Raw genomic sequence first — 25,434 nt, forward strand, 5'->3', positions numbered from 1 at the left:
TTCTTCTGTCCCAGAGGAGAAGCGGGCAGACTGGCCCTGGTTGGAGACTCCTGACAGTGACCAGCCTCAGCTGGCCAGAAAGACAGACTTCCCTGAGTGACAGGCAGGAAGGCCCTGGTTGGTCCCGGCCTGCACTGGCCTTGCACGGCTCTTCAGCTGGCCTGTAAGCCTCTCCTGAGCTCACTGCCTTGTTGCTGGCGCCTGGGCTGCTCATTGCCCTGCAAGTGGTATGAGTGGGATGGACTCCTGTTTCCATTCTGCCCTGGTCATGTGTGACAGGCAGGAAGGAAGGGGCAGCCCAGCACTGTGGACCAAGTCTCCTCAAAGAAGTATCCAGCCTTTCCCTTGTTGGAGGGGCCGTGACCCAAGATGAAAATCCTTTTCTTAGAGGAAAATGCTGTCTGCAGGGAGAGACCAGTGCTGCCTTCCTCTGCCCTTGCACGGAGCAGGAGCTCAGAATTAACATGCTTATTCTGTAACCACACGCGGGTCTTTCTGGCCTGTTCAAAGGTGTTATAATCCCCACCCTGGCTATGACCTGAGGTTAAATGTCAGAAAGAAAATAAGATGTTCCCCATGGGAAAAATCTATGCATTGGGGGTTATATCAGGCTGATTTCAGGTGTTTCCTCAGACTGATAGGTTGTAAGGTTTAGAAAAGCAACTAAGTCCTGTTCCATGTAGGGTGTTAGCAACATGTTCCCACGTGACTATAATGGGTGCTTGTGAATGAGGAGAGAAGACCCTGCTGCCTGCCTGCCTGCCGGGGCCAGAGACTGGCCTGAGCAGGGATGGTGGAGTAGTTTGGGAACCCAAACTCTCCTGCTGCCCAGCAATGGCCACTCAAAGCCAAGTGCTTGATCTTTCTGATTGGCCTCTTCATAGCAGCTCTTGACTCCTAAAAGTCTGACCCCAAGGCCTCCAGGCACTTCCTGAGGACATGTGTGGACACTCTTGTCCTGGGGTCTAAGCTGAGGAGCCTTCCTGCTGCCGCATGTCAGGCCCTGAAGGCCTGTGTAGCTCCTGGAAGAGGCCTCCCTGACCAGAGGTCCAGGAAGCAGGAGGGACTCCTGTGCAGGACAGCTGCTGCCTTCTTGGTTGCTGTTGGGAAACAAATGGCTTCTCCAAGTAACGCTGGAACTCTTGTAAGGATCACTCACTGCCAAGGAGTCTGCTCAGTGTGGCAGTGGCGCTCTCCCGGGAAGTGAGACTCTGCAAATGTGTTCTCAAGTTCTGTTCCAGCTGGCACCAGCCCTTCCCACCCCACAGGCTGGAGGCCCCCAGCACCCGCTCAGGCATGGGGCCGAGTTGCTGGCAGCCCTTGGTGCATGGCTGGTTAGCAAAGACCAGAGCCTGCTGCCTACCTGAAGCCGTGTCATCTTTTCCCCTGCCTTGGTGGGTCTTGGCACTGGCATGAAGTTGCTTCCTCCTGAAGCAGAGCGTGGGTGCCCTCCCACCGACATGCAGGATCAGTGGTGGGCCCGGAGCAAAATTACTCAACCTCTGCCTCAATGTCCTTTTCTGCACAATGGGTGACAGTGGGATCACCCTCGGGGTTGCAGTGCTCAGCAGGGTGCCTGGCCCGTAGGAGGTGTTTAATCAATGTCGGCTTTATTGTGATCACAGCTCACTGTAGCCTCAACCTCCCAGGCTCAAGCGATCCTCCCACCTCAGCCTTCAAAGTAGCTGGGACTGCAGGCATGCACCGCCATGCCTGGCTAATTTTTTGGTATTTTTTGTAGAAATGAGGTCTCGCCATGTTGCCCAGGCTGGTCTTGAACTCCTGGCCTCTGGAGTTCAAGAGATCTGCCCATCTTGACCTCCCAAAGTGCTGGGATTATCAGTATGAGCCACCACATCCAGCCTGTTTTTTTGTTTTGTTTTGTTTTTGTTTTTTGAAACAAGGTCTCACTGTTTCCCAGGCTGCAGTGCAGTGGCACAATCTAAGCTCGCTGCGGTCTTGACCTCCTGGGCTCAAATCCATCCTCCCACCTCAGCTTCTCAAGTATTTAGGACTACAGGCACATGCCACCATGCCAGGCTAATTTATTAATTTTTTGTAGAGGTGGGGTTTCACTAAGTTGCCCAGGCTGGTTTCAAACTTCTGGGCTCAAGTGATCCTTCTGCCTCAGCCACCCAGAGTGCTGGGATTACAGGTGTGAGCCACCATGCACAGCTGTACCTCCTCTGTTGAAACCCCCAACCATTTCCCAATACTGCTGGTCCCTTATTAGGGGCCTTTATGGTAAACCATCTTTTTGTGTTGTGTTGTGACTACTCGTGTGGCCCTAAGCCAAATTAGGTGTCTTGTCATCCCACCCTGGAGGAGGACCTCTGGCTTCTCAAGTGGGGTGCTCCACGGATTCCCTGATTTTTCTGAATGTTCTCGGACCTAGTAGGTATCAGTGTCCAGGGCCAAGGGGTCACATCACAGAGGCCGTTGGTCTTAAGAGCTGCTTTCCCCAGAACGAGGCTGCTGTGGTTTGGCCTTGGCTCCCCACAAGTCTGGCTTCTGCAGGAAGTTTGCTGAGTAGCCCAGCTCTTCCCTAGAGGGCAGGGGATCAGGCATGTTTGGGAGGGCAGAGCAGGGCCAGGTCGGGGCGGGGAGCAGCACGCTTCAAAACTTGCCATCCATCTTCTCCAGTTCTCAACTGGGCTAGTTTTGCTCCCCCAGGGGAGTCAAAGGTCAGTTTTTCGAGACGTTTTTGGCTGCCACACTGGGGATGCTATGGGCATCTCGTGGATAGGGGCCAGGGAAGCTGATAACCAAAGGATAGCATCCAGGACAGACCCCACAGCAAATAATTATCTGGCCCAACATGTCAGCAGTGCCGGGACTGGGAAACCCTGATCTATTCCTGGTTGCACATTGAGACAAGTTTTGGAACTCCCAGGGTTATAGAAGGAGTATCACCTATATGGGTCAGCCTGGGCCCTTCATCCCTTCATCCCCCAACCCGAGTCACTTATCCTTGCTGATGTGCTGTGTAATTATGGACAAATTCCTTCCCCTCACCAGAGCCTTGGCTTTCATTTCTTAGACACAGCGGTCCTGGGGTTGCCTTCCAGATGAAGATCTATCAAAGATTTGAAGTCTTGTGTATGTGGTCCTAGAGGACCCCAGGCTGTTATACCGATCCATGAGGCATCTGACCCCTTCCAAAGGGTAAGGCTTTACAAAAGGAAAGCAGTTTTGACTTTGAGCTGCTGAGTGAGATCCAGGCCCCTAGTTGAGGAAACTGTCTCACGCCAAGTGGGTGCTCACCCCCAAGCCTGCCAGGTCCCAGGACTTAGCTGTTGCCGAAGCAGCTTTTCTCTTCTCCAAATAACTGTGCTTTCTTTATGCTTTGCTTTTACTTTAATCTGTGTGTGGCTGCACTGGAAAGGGTAACTTTATGGCAGATGCTGTGGAACGTAATCTGCTCATGTTTAGGCTGTAAATTTTCCTTTTTTCCTTTTTTTTTTGAGATGGAGTCTTGCACTGTCACCAGGCTGGAGTGCAGTGGTGCGATCTTGGCTCACTGCAACCTCCGCCTCCTGGGTTCAAGCCATTCTCCTGCCTCAGCCTCCCGAGTAGCTGGGACTACAGGCACACACCACCACGCCTAGCTAATTTTTGTATTTTTAGTAGAGACGGGGTTTCACCATGTTGGCCGGGATGGTCTCGATCTCCTGACCTCACGATCTGCCCACCTCGGCCTCCCAAAGTGTGGGGATTACAGGCGTGAGCCACCGTGTCGGGCCTAGGCTGTAAATTTTCCATGGTTCCAAAGTGCTGTAGAGTTCACTGGAACACATGCTGTCCTCTGATAATTGAAGTGGCTTAAAACAAAACAAGTCTTTATTGGTTTGAAACAAACCATCATGTGTGCTTGTGCTTTTTTAAAACAAAAGCAAAGCTGACACCATATCTCCAATTGAGAGCTTCAGCCTCCTTCACCCCCAGAGATCCGGACTAAGTAAGGAATTTATTTACCGTGTGATCTTGGGAAAGTCCTTTCAACTTCTCCAGGTCTGAGTTTCAACTACAAAATGTGGGGATAAAACTCGATCTCCAAGCTCCCTTGCTGCAGCCTCTCACTCAGCTCCTGGAGTCCGTGGATCTCAGGGAGGGAACCTGCTGTCCAACACTGCTCTTCCAGGGTTAAAGTTCCCCTTCTGCAAGGTGAGGGCGAGCTGAAGAAATGAGCCCCTCTTGCCTCTGTGATTGTGATTCTCAGATGCTCTCAAAATACCAAATAACTAGTTTAGTTACAGGGAACTGGTGGACACTTGTAGTTTAAATCTCTTTCCTTGGCTTCAAGGGAGTGAGCTGAGTTTGACAAGCACAAATGGAAAACTGTTCTCAGGTTCTTTCCTCTGGCCCTTGGGGATAGTGGATGACTGATGTCTGGGGCAGAGTCTAGCTTTTTAGAAGGCAGACTCTTCCTCCGACATCCTCTCCAACTCCTGCTTTCTCTCCTTGTGTCTCTTATCGGCCTCTAATTAGGGGTACTGACTTGCAAGTCTATTGGATGAAATTCTTCATTTTTTCCTCCGGAAAAAGATGCCAGTTTTTCCTCAGGGACTTGTTCTGGGGGTTAATAGGAGAGTTAATAGGAGAGTGAATAGGAGAAATTCACTTTTGCCCCCAAACCTCCATTTCTCTTGTTGCAGTTTGATTTAAAGAAGAAAAGTCTTGTCCTTGAGGCTGACAGTGTGGAATAACTCCCCCAGGGCTGTGGGTCGGGGAGAGAGTGCAGGCCCTGGACTGGGGGTGCTCAGGAGCTGTGAGTGAGGGAGTGAGTATAGGCCCTGGATTCAGGGTGCTCAGGAGCTGCCTCCTCTTTTTGGGAGGGCCCCAAATGGACTAGCAGTCCAAAGCTGATGTATGTCTTAGGTTGGGATTATCAGTCTTTTTTTTTTTTTTTTTTTTTTGAGACAGTCTCACTCTGTCGCCTAGGCTGGAGTGCAGTGGCATGATCTCGGCTCACTGCAACCTCTGCCTCCCAGGTTCAAGCCATTCTCCTGCCTCAGCCTCCCAAGTAGCTGGGACTACAGGCATGCACCACCATGCCCCGCTAATTTTTTTATTTTTAATAGAGACGGGGTTTTACCATGTTGGGCAGCCCGGTCTCGAACTCCTGACCTCAAGTGATCTGCCCACCTTGGCCTCCCAAACTGCTGAAATTACAGGCATCAGTCACTGCGCCGGGCCTATAATGTACTTTTAAAGACGTCGTTTCATAATAAGGCTACGGAGACATTTGGCGCCTGCACTGGGCGGCTGAGTTGCCTGCTTTGATAGTGCTTTGCCCAAGTGTTCACTGAAATACTTTCTTCAATGTTACAGGGTCAGCTTCATGTTTGGATAAATAAGCCTGAGTGTTGAATTCCTTCCGGGGTCTCTACCTTCTGTGGTTAATCTTCTGTGTGTGTCTTTCTGCTGTATGTCAGGCTGTGCTTAAGCCTGCTTAATTGCAGTGGTTCACTTGAAAGTGCTGTTAGAAGTAAAATTAAAGGAGAAGACACATGTTGGGTCCTGCCCAAGCTGGCATCTTGCTAGCTGTTCAGGTTTGCTATTCAGGGAGTAGCCAAGGAGGGGAGAGAGATGGAGAGAGAGATGGAAAGATAGACCAACCTTGCGTCTTTTTTTTTTTTTTTGAGATGGAATCTTGCTCTGTCACCCAGGCTGGAGTGCAGTGGCGCGATCTTGACTCACTTCAAGCTCCGCCTCCTGGGTTCACACCGTTCTCCCGCCTCAGCCTCCCGAGTAGCTGGGACTACAGGCACCCGCCACCATGTCCGGCTAATTTTTTGTATTTTTCGTAGAGACGGGGTTTCACCGTGTTAGCCAGGATGGTCTCGATCTCCTGACCTCATGATCCACCCTCCTTGGCCTCCCAAAGTGCTGGGATTACAGGCGTGAGCCACCGCGCCCAGCCCCAACCTTGGGTCTTAACCAAGCAGGGGAAAGGTCTCCTGCCTGGGGCCCTCAGCCTTCTAAGGAGAGCCTGCCACAGCCATGCTTACCATTACCCAGGGCACAGTTCTGGGTCCTGAAAACCCTTTTCTAGGAGTAAAGGAGCTTTCAGACTGAGCAGACTGCCCTTCCCCACGCCTTTCTCAGTGCCTCTTCCCCAGAGGCTGGGGAGAAGGAAGGGCAAGGGTTATCAGGCCAGCCTGGCCAGGATGCAGCTGGGTGGTGGTGCTTGATGTAGGGGGAAAGCCATGAAGCGTGGCCCTGAGGCTTGAAGTGGTGGTGCCTTCCTCTTGCAGCCGGAGGTGCCTACCTTCTAGTGAATCATCCGCACACAGAAGCAATTTATGCTCCTCATTATTCTTTAGCAAGAAATAATTTCCTACCCATTTGTCACTTTAAGACTAAGGGCTTCACACTCCCTGTGCTGAGAATATAGTAGCTTGTTGTACTTCAGTTCTATTTATGTCCCATTTGGGGGTTTGGGGGCTGCCCTTTGACAAACACACAAAAAGGAGATTGATACAGCCGGAGCCATAGACAAACAAGATGACAGGCCCTGGGAACATGGGAACCTTTTGTCATGCCCTGTTACCCATGGGGGCTTTGGCCTCAGTAAGTTATTACTGGCTACCAGCGCCTTGTATATATCATCCTCACTAGAATGAAAACACCCATGTAACTCTTAGTGAGTTGCTTGCTCTGCATTGAGGCCCCAGGGATATGAACCCCAGGCTGAGCCTGTGTGTGGATGGAAGGAAGTGGATGGACACACACACAGCGTGACCCACCAGCCGGACCACTGCTCACTTTCAGGGCTCACCAACCTCAGCATTTCCAGCCAAGGCCCTGTGGTGCTCTACACCATCTCCTTGCCTGCTGCCCTGCCCCCTGGCCTTGACCTGTCTGAAGATGAGACCACCTTTCCTGCTCTCTGGGAGCCCCTGGTCCTGTGCAGGGTGGCCTAGTAGATATTAGAAATTCAAAATCAAAACTCAGTGACTGCTGCAGAGGGTGGGCCTTTCCCATAAACTGTTCACCTTCACAGTGGTGAGCAAGCTGAGGCTCAGAGGTGTTAAACAGCGTGCCCAGAGTTACACAGCTTGAAAGTGGCAGTGTCAGGTTGTGAACCTGGAGCCAGGCTATGAATCTAGAGTGAAGCCCTTGGTTATCCCAAACCATAGACCCTAAGGGCTAGCATGAGTGGGAGGGGACTCGAGGCTTCATGGGGAGTGAAGGCAGGTGGCCCCAGGCTTGGAATGAGCCTAGTAAGGAGACACATCCAAACTTGCTGCTGCTTCTTTTTTTTTAAACGCGGTCTGGCTCTCTCGCCTAGGCTAGAATACAGTGGCACCATCTCAGCTCACTGCAACCTCTGCCTCCCAGGCTCAAACCATCCTGCCACCTCAGCCTCCCCTGTAGCTGGGACTACAGGCGCATGCCACCATACCTGACTAATTTTTTTTGTGTTTTATGTAGAGACAAGGGTTTCACCATGTTGCCCAGGCTCGTCTTGAATTCATGAGGTCAAGTGATCTGCCCTCCTCAGCCTCCCAAAGTGTTGGGATTATAGGCGTGAACCACTGCGCCCAGCCCCAAACTCACCTCTTAATATTCTGTCTCTTCTCTGAAGTTCCTCCCAGCTGCTCAGCCGATTGCCACTTATAGATACTTCCCCAGACGCCCCCAGCCCGTGCAGTTCCATCAAACTTTACACACACACACAATCTGAGCGGGGTTGTCCTGCTTGCTTATGTTGCCTGCAGTCTGCATTTTTCAGTCCTGGCCAGCAGCAGCATCAGTGGCCCTGGCCCTGCCAGACACCCCTGCGTCGTGCCTGAGCCTGCTGCCCAGAGGGGATGCACTGGGAAGAGCAGGAGGCTGTTGCAAGGCTGAGGAAGGACTGGAGCTGCGAAGGCACCCGCCTGCCTCGGATGTTCCCTGATCTAAGCCCAGCTGTACCCAGCTGGGACTTGGATGTGACTCGGGTTGGGGATTGGTTTGTCCTGTTGCTGAGCCAGCATCCTGGGAAGCCTTCAGAGTCAAGGCTGTTTGGTTCTAGGTGGCTTGTCTCCAGGGTTATCTCCCCACACTCCCTGGGGCTTACAGTTCTATTTCTGTAGCAGCCTTGGCTCTGCCCCCGACCCTTACGTCAGACCTAGAAATACGTCTCACCTGGATGACCTCCAGGGAGCTGCTGCTTTGGTCCTCAGACTGCAGTTTCCTACATTACATACTTCCTTATGTAAAAAGCACAGTGCTGGCTACCTCTTTCTCAAGCTCTTCCCTCCAGGAACTGAGCAGGCCTGGGATGTGGCCAGAACATGACTTTTAGAATCCCTAAACCTGGGGGAGATTATGGAGCCTAAAATATAATTCAAAAGAAATCTTTCTTTTTTAGTGATAAAAGTTACATGTTGTACAAACATTGATGTAGCTTCTTTCTAGCATTTCTAATTGTGCAGTCCCAGGTGAGTCCATTGAAGCAGAATCTCCTGGACTCCAGCTTTGCCAGTGCCCAAAGCAAGGCTTGGTCTGCCTGTAGGATGCACTCAGGGATGACTCCTGAGAGCCAGTTGTTAAATTTTCAGAAATGTTGTGTGCCAATGGTTAATAATAGCCATTCTTTAAAAACAAATTATATAAAATTATAGTTAAATAAATTAAAAACAAGGGTAGCCAATACTCAAAACTCATCCCTTCCTGATTGTTTTACTGTATTATTTATCTATTTCACCTGTTGTATCTATGTATAATGATATGTCGCAGCCCACACCAAATCCATGTTCAGTGACATCATGTTGGTAGCTCTAAATCAGCCCTGGTGGGAATATTTCTGTTTGCCACAGAAATTGGCAAACACTATAAACTTGGGTTTGATTTATTGTTTTGATAATTGCCTAGACTTAGGAAAGTGATAGAGAGAATGCTAATCAGATTAAACTTAAGTGTTTATATATGGCCCAGTGTGGTGGTTCACGCCTGTAGTCCCAGCACTTTGGGAGGCCAAGGTGGGCGGATCACCTGAGGTCAGGAGTTTGAGACCAGCCTGACCAACATGGAGAAACCCCGTCTCTACTAAAAATACAAAATTAGCTGGGCGTGGTGGCACATGCCTGTAATCTCAGCTACTCGTGAGGCTGAAGCAGGAGAATCACTTGAACTTGGGAGACAGAGGTTGCGGTGAGCTGAGATCGCGCCATTGCACTCTAGCTTGGGCAACAAGAGTGAAATTCCTTTTTTTTTTTTTTTTTTTTTTTTTTTTGAGTGTCGCCTAGGCTGGAGTGCAGTGGTGCCATCTCGGCTCACTGCAAGCTCCGCCTCCCAGGTTCACACCATTCTCCTGCCTCAGCCTCCCGAATAGCTGGGACTACAGGTGTCTGCCACCATGCCTGGCTAATTTTTTGTATTTTTAGTAGAGACGGGGTTTCACCGCATTAGCCCAGGATGGTCTTGATCTCCTGACCTCGTGATCCGCCCGCCTCGGCCTCCCAAAAGTGCTGGGATTACAGGTGTGAGTCACCATGCCCGGCCTGAAACTCCATTTTTGAGACAGACTCTTACTCTATCACCCAGGCTGGAGTGCTGTGGTGCAGTCATGGCTCACTGCAGATTCGAACTCCTGGGCTCAAGGGGTCCTCCCACCTCAGCCTCCCAAGTAGCTGGGACCACAGGTGCATGCAACCATGCCCAGCTAATTTTTTTATTTTTTGTAGAGATGGGGTTTCACCATGTTGCCCAGGCTGGTCTCAAACTTCTGGGCTCAAGTGATCCTCCTGCCTCAGCCTCCCAAAGTGCTGGCATTACAGGTGTGAGCCACCATGCCTGGCCAAAAGTGTGTCATTGTAAATGACAGTATTCAAAACTTACCATCCAATTCAGCAAAGAAGTGGCTCACATCATTGATAAACACATGAAATTCTGTTTTTTTTTTTAATTTCAGTTTTATTTGTTAAGGTACATGAAAATATCAACCATCGCCCATGTTGGAGCTACATGCAGAGGGTTAGTTGTTAAACCGCACACTGCTGGATGCAGCTGTGCTGCGTGGCCCATGTATTTCATCACCTCTATGCCTTTGCTCCTGGCTATTTCCTTTTACTGTCTTGCCCGAGTCCCATTTCATTCACTGACTCATTTATTTAACAAATAAGTATCCAGTGTGGACTATGTGCCAGGCACCAGGGACACAGCAATGAACAAGACAGACCCAAAATACAAATTCTGTTCTAGTGGAGTTAGAGGAACAATAAGCAAAATAAATATGTTAACGGCATGGTATGCAGTTTCAAACTCTTCCCTCTTTTCCCCAGAGCACAAATGTCCCCCTCTGTGTCTTGCTCTCCCCCACCGAGGGTGAGTTCTGCCTCCATTGTGGCAGGATCTTTCAACCTCACACCAAAGGAGACAAGGCTTAGCTTGAGCACAGGGTCTGAGCAGAGATGTGTGCATAGCTGGGAACTCGAGACTGAGGCCTGGCTTTGTGGAAGACAGGCAGGAAGCAGGAAGCAGAGCCACAGTTTTATTAGAGTTCGTGAAAATGGGATGTCTCCTCCCAATGTAATGATTTGCTAATTGTTCTCAGTGCTGTGTGTGGGGTTGAAGGGAGATCTAAGATGAAACCTTTGCACCTGCAAGGAGTTAAAAATATGTAATGAAAGAAATATCACAGGATAGCCTGCTCATTCCCTCATCTATTTGTTTTGCAAATACAAGTCCTACCCCACATCAGGTGCTATAAGCTCTATAAACTGTAAAGCCAAATGATCTACGGTCTCTCCCCTTGAGGAATTTTTTTAACTTGGGGGCAATTTATAATCCAGATTGCTGGCCAGCGAACAGTGGTCAGAATGCTCTGGAAACCTTCCCCATCTCTCTGGAGTCATCAGGCCCTTGCAGGTAGTCAGCCTCCTCTCTCTCTGTTGTCCCCTCACTTATAATTGACCTCAGTTTATAATTCTGCATCTGTTTTTGTGTTTGATTGATGTCTATCTCTCTCACAAGAATGTCAGCTCCAGGAGGCAGGGACCCATGTCTGTCCTGTTCACTGAGCCTGGCATGAGGAAATGCTCAGGAAAACCTTGTTGAATAAGCAAATGCAGGGAGGACTGAGAGTGGAGGAGGGAGATGGTGTGAGAAGCCTCAGGGGTGTTCTGGAGAACGAGCCTTCATTCTTTGACATCAGGCAAGTGAATCCAGACTCCTCAGCATTTGTCAAGGTGCGGCTAGACAACACCTCCATTGTGTAGTCATATTCCTCTGTGGAGAGACCTCTAGAACAGAGCACAGCAGTTTGTATTACAGCTTATACATGATTCTTAACATTTTCTCGTGTCACAGACTCCTTGCTAACCTGATAAAAACTATAAACGTTCCTCCCCAGAATAATGCTCATGGCGTGCACACATGCGCACACACACACAAACACGGTTCCCTAAAGCCCATCCGTAAACTCCAAATCAAGAACTCTGCTTTAAAAAATGTGATCCCATCTGGGCATGGTGGCTCACACCTGTAATCCTAGCACTTTGGGAGGCTGAGGCAGGAGGATTGCTTGAGCCCAAGTTCAAGACCAGCCTGGCCAACACAGTAAGATCCTCTCTATTAAAAAATATATTTAGGCCGGGCACGGTGGCTCACGCCTGTAATCCCAGCACTTTGGGAGGCCAAGGCGGGAGGATCACGAGGTTAGGAGTTCGAGATAAGCCTGACCAATATGGTGAAACCCCGTCTTACTAAAAATACAAAAATTAGCTGGGTGTGATGGCAGGCACCTGTAGTCCCAGCTCCTCAGGAGGCTGAGGCAGAAGAATTGCTTGAACCTGGGAGGCTGAGGCAGAAGAATTGCTTGAACCTGGGAGGCAGAGGTTGCAGTGAGCCGAGATCATGCCACTGCACTCCAGCCTGGTCAATAGAGTGAGACTCCATCTCAAAAAAAAAATTATACATATATATATTTTATTTATTTATTTATATTATTTATTTTAAATACATGTATATATATTTTATTTATATATTATTTTAAATATATATAAAATACGTATATTTAAAATAAATAAATAAATAATATGATCTCCATAGCAGACACACCTCCTATTCCTCTATAGCCCCAATATCTAGCACAGTTCTTAGCATATGGGAGCACTTATTGTGTAATACAGTAATTCCCCCTTACCTGCAGGAGATATGTTCCAAGACCCCCAGTGGATGCCTGAAACTTCGGATAGTACTGAACCTTATATATACTATGTTCTTCCTATACATATGTTGCCATAAGGTTTAATCTACAAATTAGGCACAGTAACAGATTAACAACATATTTAGAACAATTAATCTACTGTAATAAAAATTATGTGAATGTGGTCTCTCTTGCTCCCAAAATACTTCGTTGTACTGTACGTACCTATTTTTGGGCCTCAGTTGGCTGTGGGTAACTGAAACTGCGGAAAGTGAAACTGCAGATATGGGGGGATTACTGCATCGGGGATTACTGTGTCGAGGGCACAGTGGGACGAATGGGGAGATGGGTATGTAAAAAAGTGTCTGGGTTTGCCATGGCCTACATAGAGCTGAGCTGACAATTCCATTGAAGTCGCGAGGGAGAGGGCCACTTGAGCAGAGTGGTAGCACTCTATATCACTGCTCTGTCCTGGCCCTGCGGGTTCTCCCCATACCCAGGAGGCCCACCAAGTCCATAAGATCACTTTCCAAATAAAAAGTTAGAACATGGTGTCTGACACATTGTCTGATAATGGGACAGAATATTTGAAATTGGGCCTGTCTCACAAAACCAGGGGTTATATGAATTTAAAGAAACATGACTTAGTTCTTCCTGAGGCTGGTAGGGTTCTTCTTGTGGTAGGGTTCTTCTTGGTGCTTCTTTAAGCCTCCCCAGAAGGGGGATGATCAGGGACTAGGCTGCATTCCCCATAGAGACTAGGTTATTCTGGGTAGAGGGGCCCAGTATGGCAGCCCATCTGCCCTCCACACGCTCTGTGGTCGCCTGTGTTGGGGGACCTGAGCGTTAGTGGCACCCCATGCTGCTCATTACCACCCCAAAAAGTAGTCAATCCTGGCTTTTAAAATGTTCAACCCTACTAGTTTTTTTTTTTTTAATTTTAATCCCTATTTTTCATATGAGGCATTTGGCAATGCTGATTTTTAGACACCACAATAGTTCAAAACCATGGGGGAGAAAACCTTACAGTACTAGAATTTGCTTGGAAAACAGTTGTCAAGGAAATAGATTTTGCAAAACATTTCCTCCCAGGAGAGTGCTCACTTTCCATGTATCCCCACGTTGAACATTATTCTGCCATATAATAGTGGTAGGCAAAGGTACTGTAGACAGATAATTTGTCTAGCCAACATCTAATTATGAATTAAAGCCCTGGCTGGCACTTTTACAGCTCGGCAGCCAATGGTGGACAGAGTTCAAGTTGAGTTTACAGTGCATCTGAAATGTTCTCGGACATACAGGAATGACGGAAGATTTCTTGGCCTTGGCTACAGAGTGGGAAATAGGATTCTGTAAACTCTATTAGCAGACAATGGAAGCATCTGATAGATGGAGCTGAAATTGCAAAGCATTGTTCGATTAAAAGAAAAGGGGAAGACTCGCTGGGCGGGGGCTGTGACTCAAGGCACTCATATAAGGAGGCAATTATCTCACGATTGGACATGCTGGTGGCCCAGTCTCCAGCCATTGCTACTTGGAGGATCCGTCACTGTTAGACATGCCAACAAATATATATACTGCTCAGTTGAGAGCAGACCTCACAAGCAAGGCTGGCGGCTTTAATTATCACTTGTGAGAACTTAGTCAAGAAAGTGCTAGCCTGGTTAAGAGTTATGGCCACTGACGCTAGCAGGTGGTTAATTATAGGCCCCTCCATTCCCACAAAGGTGCACGGCCTGTGTAGAAACGGTTTCTGACAAAGAGGCAGAGAGATGGTTGTGTCTCTTCATTATTTCCATTTGTGTTACGATCTATTGTATTTGCAGTAATCTTTAATTATAGAGGCTATTACTATGGAATGGACTATCAATGTTACTCGTTTCTGCAATGTTGCCTGGTAACGTCCCTTTGTGCCTGAGACACACGTACACATGTCTCTGTAGTTACGGGCTGTTGAATTGATACCTTCCTCTCAGCCATTTGCCATCACAATATTATAAAAAGCTATTTTAAGAATTGAGAGTGCCCAATCTATGGGGTGAAAAATGGACTCGGTGTGATAACAGCCTACATCTTCAAAAAGACTTAATTTTAACCAGAATAGTTCTTACACGATGCAATATTCCCCAGTAGCAAGACGGAAAAACGCTTCCAAATAGTTAGCTGCATTCTGCCATCATCTTTGGATAACGCTGTGTCCCATTACAGACCAATCTCTGCCTCGAGACCCATTTTGCACACCGCTGTGGACCACACGAGACATGAGAAGTTGGGAGTCTTTAGGTTTTTGATGATTTCCCACCTAAGAAGATCACTGATGGAGAAAACAGGGCATTAGATATTGCAGGTGGAGTCTGTTTGGCCCCTCTGTGAAGTCAGGTTATTTCCATCATCCTGCTGATTTTGAAAATGGCCCATTAGTAGAAGAAATGGTGTCAGAGTTATCACCAGAAGTACTCAAAATCATTCTCTTGAAAGGTCACACTAGTGGAATTTTCAGGTAATACTTGGCATTGGCTTTTTTTTTTTTTTTTTTTTTTGCAGGAAAGCAGCTGCTCCAGCCATGGGGAGAGGTCATCTACTGGGTTTCAGATCTCAAGTTATGGCTGTAACTCCACAAAAGTGGCTATCGCTTAAAGATAATTACATTCCACATTGTTCATGCTAAACTCTTGAGATGGACTGATTGGCATATTTAAATCTCATCTCTCAGGCATTTGCTAATTATCATAGCCTAGTTGGAAGAAAAAAAAACCCTCTAATCAAATAGCTGTTTAGAGATGCTTTGCATTTTAAAATTTTACTGGGTTCATAGGAAGGAGGAATTATGCCTCTGATTTCTTCTGGCTCTTCCCCTGACCTCAGGAGGGTTTAGACTTTTAACGGTTTAAATAGCCATAGCTATCCACCCAGGAAACATTTTTGCATTTCGGTTCTCTGTCTTTTTGCGTCGTTTTCATCCCCAACCCCATTTTTCACTTAGTGACTTCACATCCAGGAGGGGGGCTGTTGAATTCCAGCTAATGAGCCTCATCTTTTTACTCCTCTTAAGTGGTCCCAGCTAGACCTGGAGTCAAATCTGAGAGCAAACGGTAGCACACATCTTTCTCAGGTTCACAAACGGAACACCAAGTCCATAGTGAAAGGGAGAGGAATTTCTTCCTCTTGCTTAGAAAGACAAAAAGAGCAGCTTCTCAGGGCAGCAGGTTGAGTAGAAGCCATCCTCCTTAGAAAAGGCAGACTTGGTGTTTAATTAACAGCAGCTGGAAAGGACCCCACTCCCCCCACCACTGGCAGCTGAGCCGACATCGTTTTATGTAATAGATTCTTTTCAGCTGCTGTGCTCAGAATTGAGAAAACCTGATGGTTTCCTCCTTTATACAAAACATACGGCTGTCAGCGACAGAAATCTCAGCCAGGCCTTTCTTTTATGGGGATATTCTAAAAGGGCCTGTCTCTGAGATTTTGAAAGAGTCCCGGTGAGCCACCATCACCCATAGTTGTGCCTCAAAAGCAAGTGCAGGGAAGAGGAATTCTGTGAAGGTTTTGAAACACCTGTCATGGGCCGTGGGTTCATTTGTGCCCTGCCTATGGCAGGGTCTGTTTTGCCCACTGGCAGGAGGCTGCTGTTTCCTATAGCTGGTTTACAGGCCCCAGCAGGAAGTCCCAGTTCTGGAGGCAGCATAGGAAAGAGAAAATCCTGGTCTCCTGTTAGAAGTCAGAGCAGCAGACCTAGAGAAGGTGTATTCAGTTCTTGGGGAGGAGGATGTGAGGATGGGAGGGAGGTAGGAGGAGAGAGCTCAAAATCCCACCAGTTGAAGGCCTGTGTGAGCTTTAATTTTGGCCATTTAAACAATTCAAAGAGGCTGGGAGTGGTGGCTCACACCTGTAATCCCAGCCCTTTGGGAGGCTGAGGCGGGCGGATCACTTGAGGTCAGGAGTTTGAGACCAGCCTGGCCAACATGGTGAAGCCCGGTCTCTACTAAAAATACAAAAATTAGCCAGGCGTGGTGGCAGGTGCCTGTAATCCCAGCTACTTGGGAGGCTGAGGCAGGATAATCGCTTGATCCCAGAAGGCTGGAAGTTACAGTGAACCAAGATGGGGCCACTGCACTCCACCCTGGGCGATGGAGTGAGACTCCATCTCAAAAAAAAAAAAAAAAAAAAGCAATTCAAAGAAAAAGAAACAATGAAACTTGAAGATCTGAGTTTTCTCTCTGTCCCCATTAGTTCATCACGATTACAGCCTTTTGATTTTCATAGTTAATTGTTCTTCGGCATTCTATTTCAGGGTTTTGAAATCAAATTGCTCGATCTTTTCTCTCTCCTGTGTGATTAGGTTATCTTTTATAATACAGCTGCAATAATCCTTTCAAGAACACAGCGCTTTAGCTCAGCAGTGTCAAAGACAATATCCTAAGTGGCCTCTGAAATTCAGTCTTGTAGGAGTGAGAAAACACCACCAGCCCCTATTATGAACCCAGAAGTGCCACCACACATCACCCATCATCACAGACCTGGAAAAATGAAAAGAAAACCCACACTGAGCTGCCTGATTAATGCAAACTCAAGGAGTGCTTATGGGGTGGCAGCTACTTGGCTTCATGGGAAGAATGACTCCAGGACCTCAGTTATTTTATGTGGCATTTGTAAGGCTAGGCCGGTCTGTTTACTGCTTTGGAATTCTCTCTCCTGGGGTGAACTGGTAACCTTATCAGTGGGTTTTACAAGCTTTTCTAGCCAAGAAAAGAAAATATGTACTTTGGAATCTCTTCTCATGGGGGCTTGGAGGAACAAAGAAAAGCCGAATGCATTTCTCAGGCTATAAATGGGAAACGAGGTGCATTTTTTTCAGATATTTATTAAGTTCTCAGCTCAGCTGTCATCTGGGAGGCCTTCCTTGGCCACCCCACCCACTCAGTTATCCCCCACCCCCTTACCTTGCTTGACTTTCCTTCACGGTGCTTGTCACCATTCAGAATTCTCCTGCTGGCTGCTGGCTGCCTCCCCACACTAGGATGTAGAGGCCATGAAGGCAGCCGCCATTCCTATCTTGTTTACTCCCATATGTACTAGAACATGGGGTACATAGTAGATGCTCAGTAAATATTTTCTGAATGGATGTCAGGTGGGGAGAGGTAGAGAAAAGAACGGTTAACATGCAGAGATTGGAATCGGACAGACCTGGGTTTGAATCCAAGCCTTCTACTTTTCTTTCTTTCTTTTTTTTTTTTTTGAGACGGAGTCTTGCTCAGTCACCCAGGCTGGAGTGCAGTGGCACGATCTCGGCTCACTGCAACCTCCGCCTCCTGGGTTCACGTCATTCTCCTGCCTCAGCCTCCCGAGTAGCTGGGACTACAGACGCCCGCCATGATGCCCAGCTAATTTTTTTTTGTATTTTTAGTAGAGACGGGGTTTCACCATGTTAGCCAGGATGGTCTCCATCTCCTGACCTCGTGATCCACCCGCCTCGGCCTCCCAAAGTGCTGGGATTACAGGCGTGAGCCACCGCACCCTGCCCAAGCCTTCTACTTTTCAGCTGCTGTGCTCAGAATTGAGAAAACCTGATGGTTTCCTCCTTTATACAAAGCATACAGCCATCAGCGACAGAAATCTCAGCTAGGCCTTTCTTTTATGGGGAGAAACTGAAAGGGCCTGTCTCTGAAATTTTGAAAGAGTCCGGGTGAGCCACCATCACCCATAGTTGTACCTCAAAAGCAAGTGCAGGGAAGAGAGGAATTTTGTGAAGATTTTGAAACACCTGTCATGGGCCGTGGGTTCATTTGTGCCCTGCGTATGGCAAGGTCTGTTTTGCCCACTGACGGGAGCTGCCGTTTCCTGTAGCTGGTTTACAGGCCCCAGCAGGAAGTCCCAGATCTGGAGGCAGCATAGGAATGAGAAAATTCTGGTCTCTTGTTAGAAATCAGAGCAGCAGACCTAGAGAAGGTGTATTCAGTTCTTGGGCACACAGTTAGCTGTGTGTCCTTGGAATTGTTACTGAACCGCTCTGAACCTCAGTTTTCTTATCTATAAAATGGGCTCAATACTTGCTTCTGGGAGTAGCAATGGAAGATTAAATGAGATAAAATATGTGATCACATCTGGCAAAAGGGCTGGTACATGGAGGTGCTCAATAAATACTGGCACCATCGGGCACACTGGCTTGTGCTTTTAACCATAGCACTTTGGGAGGTCGAGGCAGGAGGATCACTTGAAGCCAAGAGTTCAAGACCAGCTTGGGCAACGTATCGAGACCCTATCTTTTTTAAAAAAAAATTGTAAAAATCAGCCAAGTGTGGTGGCACACACCTGCTACTTGGAAGTCCCAGCTACTAGGGAGGCTGAGGTGAGAGGATCACTTAAGCCTAGGAGTTTGAGGCTGCAGTGAGCTACTATCATACCACTGTACTGCACTCCTGTCTGGATGACAGAGCAAGACTCTGTCTCTAAAAATACACAGATACAAATAAATACTGGCTTATTCTCCAGTTCTTAACTGAAATCCTTTCACAGGACAAGAAACAAGGCCCTTTACTACCCATGAATGTTGGTAGTTCTCAGGCCCCCTTCTTGAGTCCAGGAAAGGAATCTGTCAGGAGAATGTTGCTGATCCTCTTTCGGTTCCAAGAACTACCAGAAAATGTAGAACTACCAGAAAATGTAGATGGTTTCACATGATTCTAAATGGATTTCCAAAGCAGTCTATGCCCACAGCTGGTTTCTCCAGAAATGACAACACTGCCTGGAAAACAAGACTCCTGCCCTCCTGGAGCCTTTGTTCTTGTGCTTGGCCCAGGGCCTCCCTGTAAGCCCCAAAGGCTCTGAAACCCATCACCCAAATCCCCTTGTGGATGCAGAGACGCCACTAAGCAGTCTTTAGATGGAGATTATCAAGGCTGAACTTCCAGATTTCAAATAGTATCACCTCCCTGGGAAACCAGCACTTGGAGATTCCTGCGTTCCATGTGCCTTGCAGGATCTCTCTGCCACTTGCATTGGTATTTTCTTTGTTTTCACTTAAACCTGTTTCTTTAAAAAAAAATTGTTAAAGTTTGGGTAAAAGAACTGGTTCCGCCTCTTTCATGTTTCCAAAGGCTCCAGGCTCTGCTGGGGCAGCTTTAAAGCAGGTCATCCATTCCTTCTAGCAGACTGAGCCTTCAGGGGGTGGGAATTTGGACATTTCTCATTTTCAAAGAGAAGCAGACATAAGGATGGGCCACTTGAGCCAGGCACAGGGCAGCAGCCGGCCTTCGTTTGATGCTGTGTGTGCCACATGCTGTCCAGAGGTGCTGGGTCTATGTCGTGTTGGTTCATTCATTAGACAGTAGAGCAGCCTGGTGAGATGGAAGAGACAAAGCTTTCTGAATCAGCCAGACCCCAGCTTCAAACACTGGCTCTGCCACCTGCCAGCTACAGAGCCCAAATGTTGGCAAAAGGAGAGAGACTGGTCTTACCTCTGAGGGTGGTTGGGTAAGAAGTAATTTGTTGTCATGGTTAAGACTGCAGCTCTGATTTAGCCTCTTGCATCCATTGCCTGCCTCTGCCACTACTTTTTTTGAGATGGGGTCTTACTCTGTCACCCAGGCTGGAGTGCAGTGGCGTGATCTTGGCTCGCTGCAACCACCACTTCCTGGGCTCAAGCATTCCCCTCACCTAAACCTCCCAAGTAGCTGGGACCACAGGTGCGTGCCACCATGCCCAGTTAATTTTTTTGTATTTTCAGTAGAGATGGAGTTTCACCATGTTGCCCATGCTGGTCTCAAACTCCTGGGGTCAAGCGATCCACCTGCCTCGGCCTCCAGAAGTGCTGGGATTACAGGCTTGAGCCACAACACCTGGTCGCTGCTGCTGTTTGTTCCATGTCCTTGGGCAAGTTATTTCACCCTCCAGGACTCATTGCTTCATGTTGTAAAATAAGGATACGGGCTGGCATAGGATTAAATGCTCGTGAAGGGCCTAACCCAGTGGGTGGCACACAGTAAGTGCTCAGTGGATGTCCACTACTGGATAATAGAGGTAATGCATGAGCCATTGTTGTATTGATGTGCTATGTTGACTCCCTCTTTATGGCCAAGCTCTGTGCTAGGGGTTGGGGATACAGAGGGGAATAGGTTCCAGCATTCAAGGGCAAAGGAGACAGACATGAAATAAATGATTATCCCGTAGAGGTGTTAGGTATTGTCACTGATGGACAATAGGGGGCCGTAGGAGGATAGTGAATTCAGAATGCTGTTGCCTGTGCCCCAGAACATCAGAACGCCTCATGTAGGAATGTGCTGTGGTGGAATGGAAAATGCACTGGAGATTTGGTGGGTTGGTTTGTTCATTTGGTTATTCATTGGCATGTACGAAGGCCGTGAGGTAGTGTATTAGTTTTATCTTGCTCTAGTAACAAATCACAAAAACTCAGTGACTTAGAACACAAATTCGTTCTCTTACAGTTTAGTAGGTCAGGGGTCTGAAACAGGTCTCACTGGGCTAAAATGCAGGTGTTGGCCAGGCCATGCTGCATTCCTTTCTGGAGGTTCTAGGGGAGTGCATTAATTAGGATTCTCCAGAGAAAAAGAACCAGTAGGAGATGGTAGAGGTGGGACTTATTAGGGGAATTGGCTCACATGATTATGGAGGCTGGGAAGTTCCACAACAGGCCATCTGTAAACTGGAGAAGCAGAGAAGCCAGTAGCATGGCTCAGTCCAAGCCCAACGGCCTGGGAACCAGGGAAGCCAGCAGCCTAACTCTCAGCTCAAGGCTGAAAGCCTCAGAACCTGGGGGTGGAGGGGCAGTTGGTACAAGTCCCAGAGTCCAAAGGCCAGAGAACTTGTTGTTCTGATTCCAAGGGCAGGAGAGGAAGGTGCCCTAGCTCCAGAAGAGAGAGAGAGAGAGATAATTTGCCCTTTCCTCTACCTTTTCTATGCAGGCCTTCAGCTGATGGGATGGTGCTTACCTACATTGGGCGAGGGCGGGCCTTCCTAACTCAACCCACCAACTCAAATGTTAGTCTCTTCCAGAAACACCCTTGCAGACATACCCTTTCCAGTATCCTGAAAAGAATACTTTCCCAGCTATCTGGGCATCCCTTAGTGCAGTCAAGTTGACATCTACCATGAACCATCACAGGGAGAATCCCTTCGAGAGGCCACCTGCATCTCTGCATTCCTTGGCTCATGGCCACCTTCCTCCATCTTCAAAGCCAGCAGTGGTGGAGTCTTTTTCACATCTCATCACTTGGACACTGATTCTCCTGCCTCTCTGTCCTACTTATAAGGACCCTTCTGATTGTACTGGGCCCACCCCGATAATCAGGCTAATCTCCCTCTCCCCAAGTCAGCTGATTAGCAACTGTAATTCCATCTGAAACCTTAATTCCATCTTACCTTGTAACCCAACATTCACAGGCTCTGAGGATTAGAACATTTGGGGGCCATTGATCTTCCTGCCCTAGGCAAGGGGGGCTGTGTGTGTTTGAGGTGATGGGCAAAGGCCCTGTGGCTGAAGCGTGGTGGGGAAAGTCCAAGAGGCAGGTAGGTGTTTTGAGGCTCAGTGCCATGGGGCTGGCGGTTGGAGGCTCTTACACAGAGGAATGGCATTTAATGGTTTGCCTTTTCAAAGGGTGGCCCTGGTAGCTGTTTGGAGAAAGGATGGGGGTGACATGCGGGGAGAGAGGGCAGCTGGAGACCATTACAGACAGTCAGATGACAGCCAGAGGTGAACGGGGAGGGGGAAAGGAGGTGAGTCAGAGATGTCATCGCCAGAAATCCTGTTGAATAGATTTGGGTGGGGAGGAAAGGAGACTTGAGAGGACTTGGTTTCTGATATGAGCCAGCAGCAGGATGACAGCGCTGTCTCCCGATGCAGGGAAGACGATGAATGGGAAGCCCGGGGCAGGCGGAGCACCTGCGAACACTTAGTGGAGTATGCTGTGCCCAGGTGCTGTGCCGAGGGCCTTGGCATTGTAACTGATCCTTGCAGCACCCAGAGAAGGCAGGCACGGTTTCTGCTCCATTCTGTGAGGCAGTGGAGTATTGTGGCTGTGAGCACAGACCACCTGCATTCATATCCTGGCTCTGTTGCTTACTTGCTATGATACTTGGGCAAGTACCTCAGTTTCCTTACCTGAAAATGAGAGTAATGTTATACCAGTCCTATAAAATTAGTGTGAAGATTAAATGAGTTTATATGTAAAGCACTGATGACTCATGGAAAACACTAGGTAAATATAACAGTATCATTATTTTTACACAGATGAACAGATTGAGGCACAGAGAGGTTAAGTATCTTGTCCAAAGACACACAGCTGGGTAAAGCCAGGATCCAAAGCCAGGCTCTGAACTGCTATGCCTTACCTCCTCCCCAGGAGCACGTCACAGAGATGTGGTGAAAACGGCATGTGCACATGCATACAAAAGCACTTAGCAGTGTGCATGACACAATATGTCCCATAAATGTCTGTATGTGGAAGTGCGGTTTCTTTTGCTGTAAAATGGGGGTGATTACCCCTACCCTGCCTAACTCACAGGTGACGGTAAGGCTCAAATGAAAAAGGCAAAGCATTTTGGAAATGGTAGAGACACTTGCACATGGGCAGGTTTTGTTGAACCATTTCGCATTGGAATTTCACTTGTGGGTGACCTAAGATCTTTCCCACTGTCACTCATCTTTGTCCCCCACACGCTGTCTTCCTGCCCCCACCTAACACCCAATCTGTGATAGAACAGAGCGGTTGGGGACCTGTCCCAATGCAGTGGCTCCCAGGTTTGGTGGCCTTCTCTGTGCAGCTGCTCTTGTCTGTCTGCACGCTGCACCAAGACCAAAGCCTCGCTGGGAAGGGTCTCACCTGCTCTTGCTGTTGTGGCCTCACAATTGGAGCTGTCCCTTTATTGGGCCTTTGATAAATCCTTGTTGAGTCAAGGCCACTGGGCAGTGAGTGCTTCTGTCCCAGGCATCCTCCTTAATCCTTTGACATGAGCAGCCCTAGAGGTTGCCTCGTGTTGTCACCATCCTTAGTCATTTAATCAACATATTTTTATGGAAAGTCTCTATGTGCTGGGTACTCTCCTAGGTGCTAGGGAGCAGTAATGAGCAATGGAGCCAACAGAGCCTCGTGGAGCCTGCATAATCATGCAGGGAAATAGATACTAATTAATCACACAACTAATGTAAAATTTTGACTTTAATAATCCTCCATAATAGGGTGATTCAACCTGAAGGGAAGACCTCTCTTGGAAGTGGCAACCAAGCCTGGGCACTGAAAGATGAGTGGAATTCACCAGGCAAAAAGAGGAGGGAGGAGTTGTCCAAGGAGCGGGACTATTGTGTGCAAAGGCCCTGTGGCAGGGGGAGGCATGGTTCCTTGAGGAAAAGAGAGAGAAAGCTAGTGTGGCTGTGGCAGAGATGGGGAGGATAAGCTGACTGAAGGCGTGAGTGGGTGACTTCCTGGGCCTGATGGGCCTCAAGAAGGAGTTTATTTAAGTGTGTGTTTGGGATGAAGCAGAGCGATATGAATAAATTTGCACTTCAAATAACCACCCTGGCTGCAATGTGGAGAGCAGTGTAGGAAGCCAGGGAGGACCCATCTAGGCCAGTCAGGAGGCAGTCGCAGGAGTTCCATGGAGAGATGGGAGTGGTTTGGATTAGGGTGGTGCTCATGGTGGTGGTACAAAGAGAAGTGGATGGAGAGATACTTCTCTTTTAGTGGATACGTTAATAGGATAGCAGTATCCTGTGGCTGCTTTTTATTGATTGATTGATTCATTTTATTTCAGTAGTTTTTGGGGTACAGGTAGTTTTTGGTTACATAGATAAGTTCTTTAGTGGTGATTTCTGAGATTTTCGTGCACCTGTCACCTGAGCAGTTTATACTGTACCCAATATGTAGACTTTTATCCCTCAACCCCTGCAGTCTTTCCCCCAACTCTGAGTCCCCAAAGTCCATTATATCATTCTTATGCCTTTGTGTCCTCATAGCTTAGCTTCCACTTATAAGTGAGAATATACAATATTTAGTTTTCCAATCCTGAGTTACTTCACTTAGAATAAGAGCCTTCAGCTCCTTCTAAGTTGCTGCAAAGGACATTATTTCATTCCTTTCTATGGCTGAGTAGTATTCCATGGTGTATATATGCCACATTTTCTTTATCCACTCATTGGTCGATGGGCACTTGGGTTGGTTTCGTATCTTTGCAATTGCAAATTGTGCTGCTATAAATGTGTATGCAAGTGTCTTTTTCATATAATGACTTATTTTGCGGGGGGGGGGGGAGGTGGTTACCCAGTGTGGGATTGCTGGATCAAATGATAGTTCTACTTTTAGTTCTTTAAGGAATCTCCATACTGTTTTCCATAGTGGTTGTACTAACTTATATTCCCACCAGCAGTGTAAAAGTGTTCACTTTTCACCACATCCATGCCATGGCTGCTTTTTATTGAGCACATATTATATACGAGCCATTGTGCTCAACACTTTACATCTGTTATTTACTCTTAGGGTTATTCTAAGGATTAAGTATTTCTGTCCTTTTACAGATGAGGAAACTGAGACTTACAGGGGTTAAGTCACTCACTCAAGGCCACACAGCCAGTAAGGTGGCAGAGCCCTAGAGCAGCCTCTCAAGCTTCAATGTGCGTTTGAATCACCTGGGGCTCTTGTTAAACTGCTGCTACAGATTCAGCAGGTGGGAGAGTGGAACTGAGGTACTCTGTTTCTGACGTGCCCCCTGGGTGGCCCTACTCCTGGTCCCTGGAGCACTTTGAGCAGCGAGAGTTTCTCTGCCTGTATGGCCCACACTCTCGACCCTGATGCCTTAGAAACAGCTGCAGACAGGATGCGATTCCTGAGACTGCTCAAACCTGAAACCCCATGGGCAGGATGTGGGTGAGCTGTCTGGACCTCAGGTGGGTGGGAGTTGTATCATATGCTCATTTCCCACATTGGCCTTTCAATAGCTTGAGTAAACCCGAAACTGAGAGGGTTGGAGGCAGCATCTCCCCTTCTACTCCCCCGCTTCACCTCCCCGGGCAACCAAACCCCACCCGTGCCCAGCTTCTGAGCGATAGACCTGGGCTGTGTATTTGCAGGAGCCTCACTGGGGTCACCAACCAGGTCATGTTGTGTTGCCCCAATAAATGGAACTGGATCAGAAAATCCAACGTGGATAGTTTTTAGGTGCCAAGCTGTCAGCTCTTCCCTTGGACTGTGCTGAAAGTGGAAGAGGAGAAAAAAATCAACCCAATGTTCTAAGCTCTCTGTCTACATAGTCATTAGATCCCAGGATCGTTAGAGACCAAATCCCTTCCCACT

General features: G+C 48.0%; 1 protein-coding gene across 5 annotated transcripts in view, besides 2 other annotated features; it reads left to right on the top strand.

The window, feature by feature from the left end:
- The window catches only part of MAN1C1 (mannosidase alpha class 1C member 1), a 167,660-nt gene that overhangs the window by 34,411 nt on the left and 107,815 nt on the right, over nucleotides 1–25,434 (top strand). The window lies entirely within an intron of this gene.
- Nucleotides 25,043–25,112: a silencer, noted in NCBI's record as "silent region_460". NCBI's record gives its function as "represses an Ori minimal core promoter by ATAC-STARR-seq in GM12878 lymphoblastoid cells {active_cell/tissue: GM12878}" and the evidence as "EXISTENCE:reporter gene assay evidence [ECO:0000049][PMID:35858748]".
- Nucleotides 25,193–25,242: an enhancer, noted in NCBI's record as "active region_463". NCBI's record gives its function as "activates an Ori minimal core promoter by ATAC-STARR-seq in GM12878 lymphoblastoid cells {active_cell/tissue: GM12878}" and the evidence as "EXISTENCE:reporter gene assay evidence [ECO:0000049][PMID:35858748]".

Source organism: Homo sapiens, chromosome 1 (genome assembly GCF_000001405.40).
Source record: "Homo sapiens chromosome 1, GRCh38.p14 Primary Assembly".
Lineage (NCBI taxonomy): Eukaryota > Metazoa > Chordata > Mammalia > Primates > Hominidae > Homo > Homo sapiens.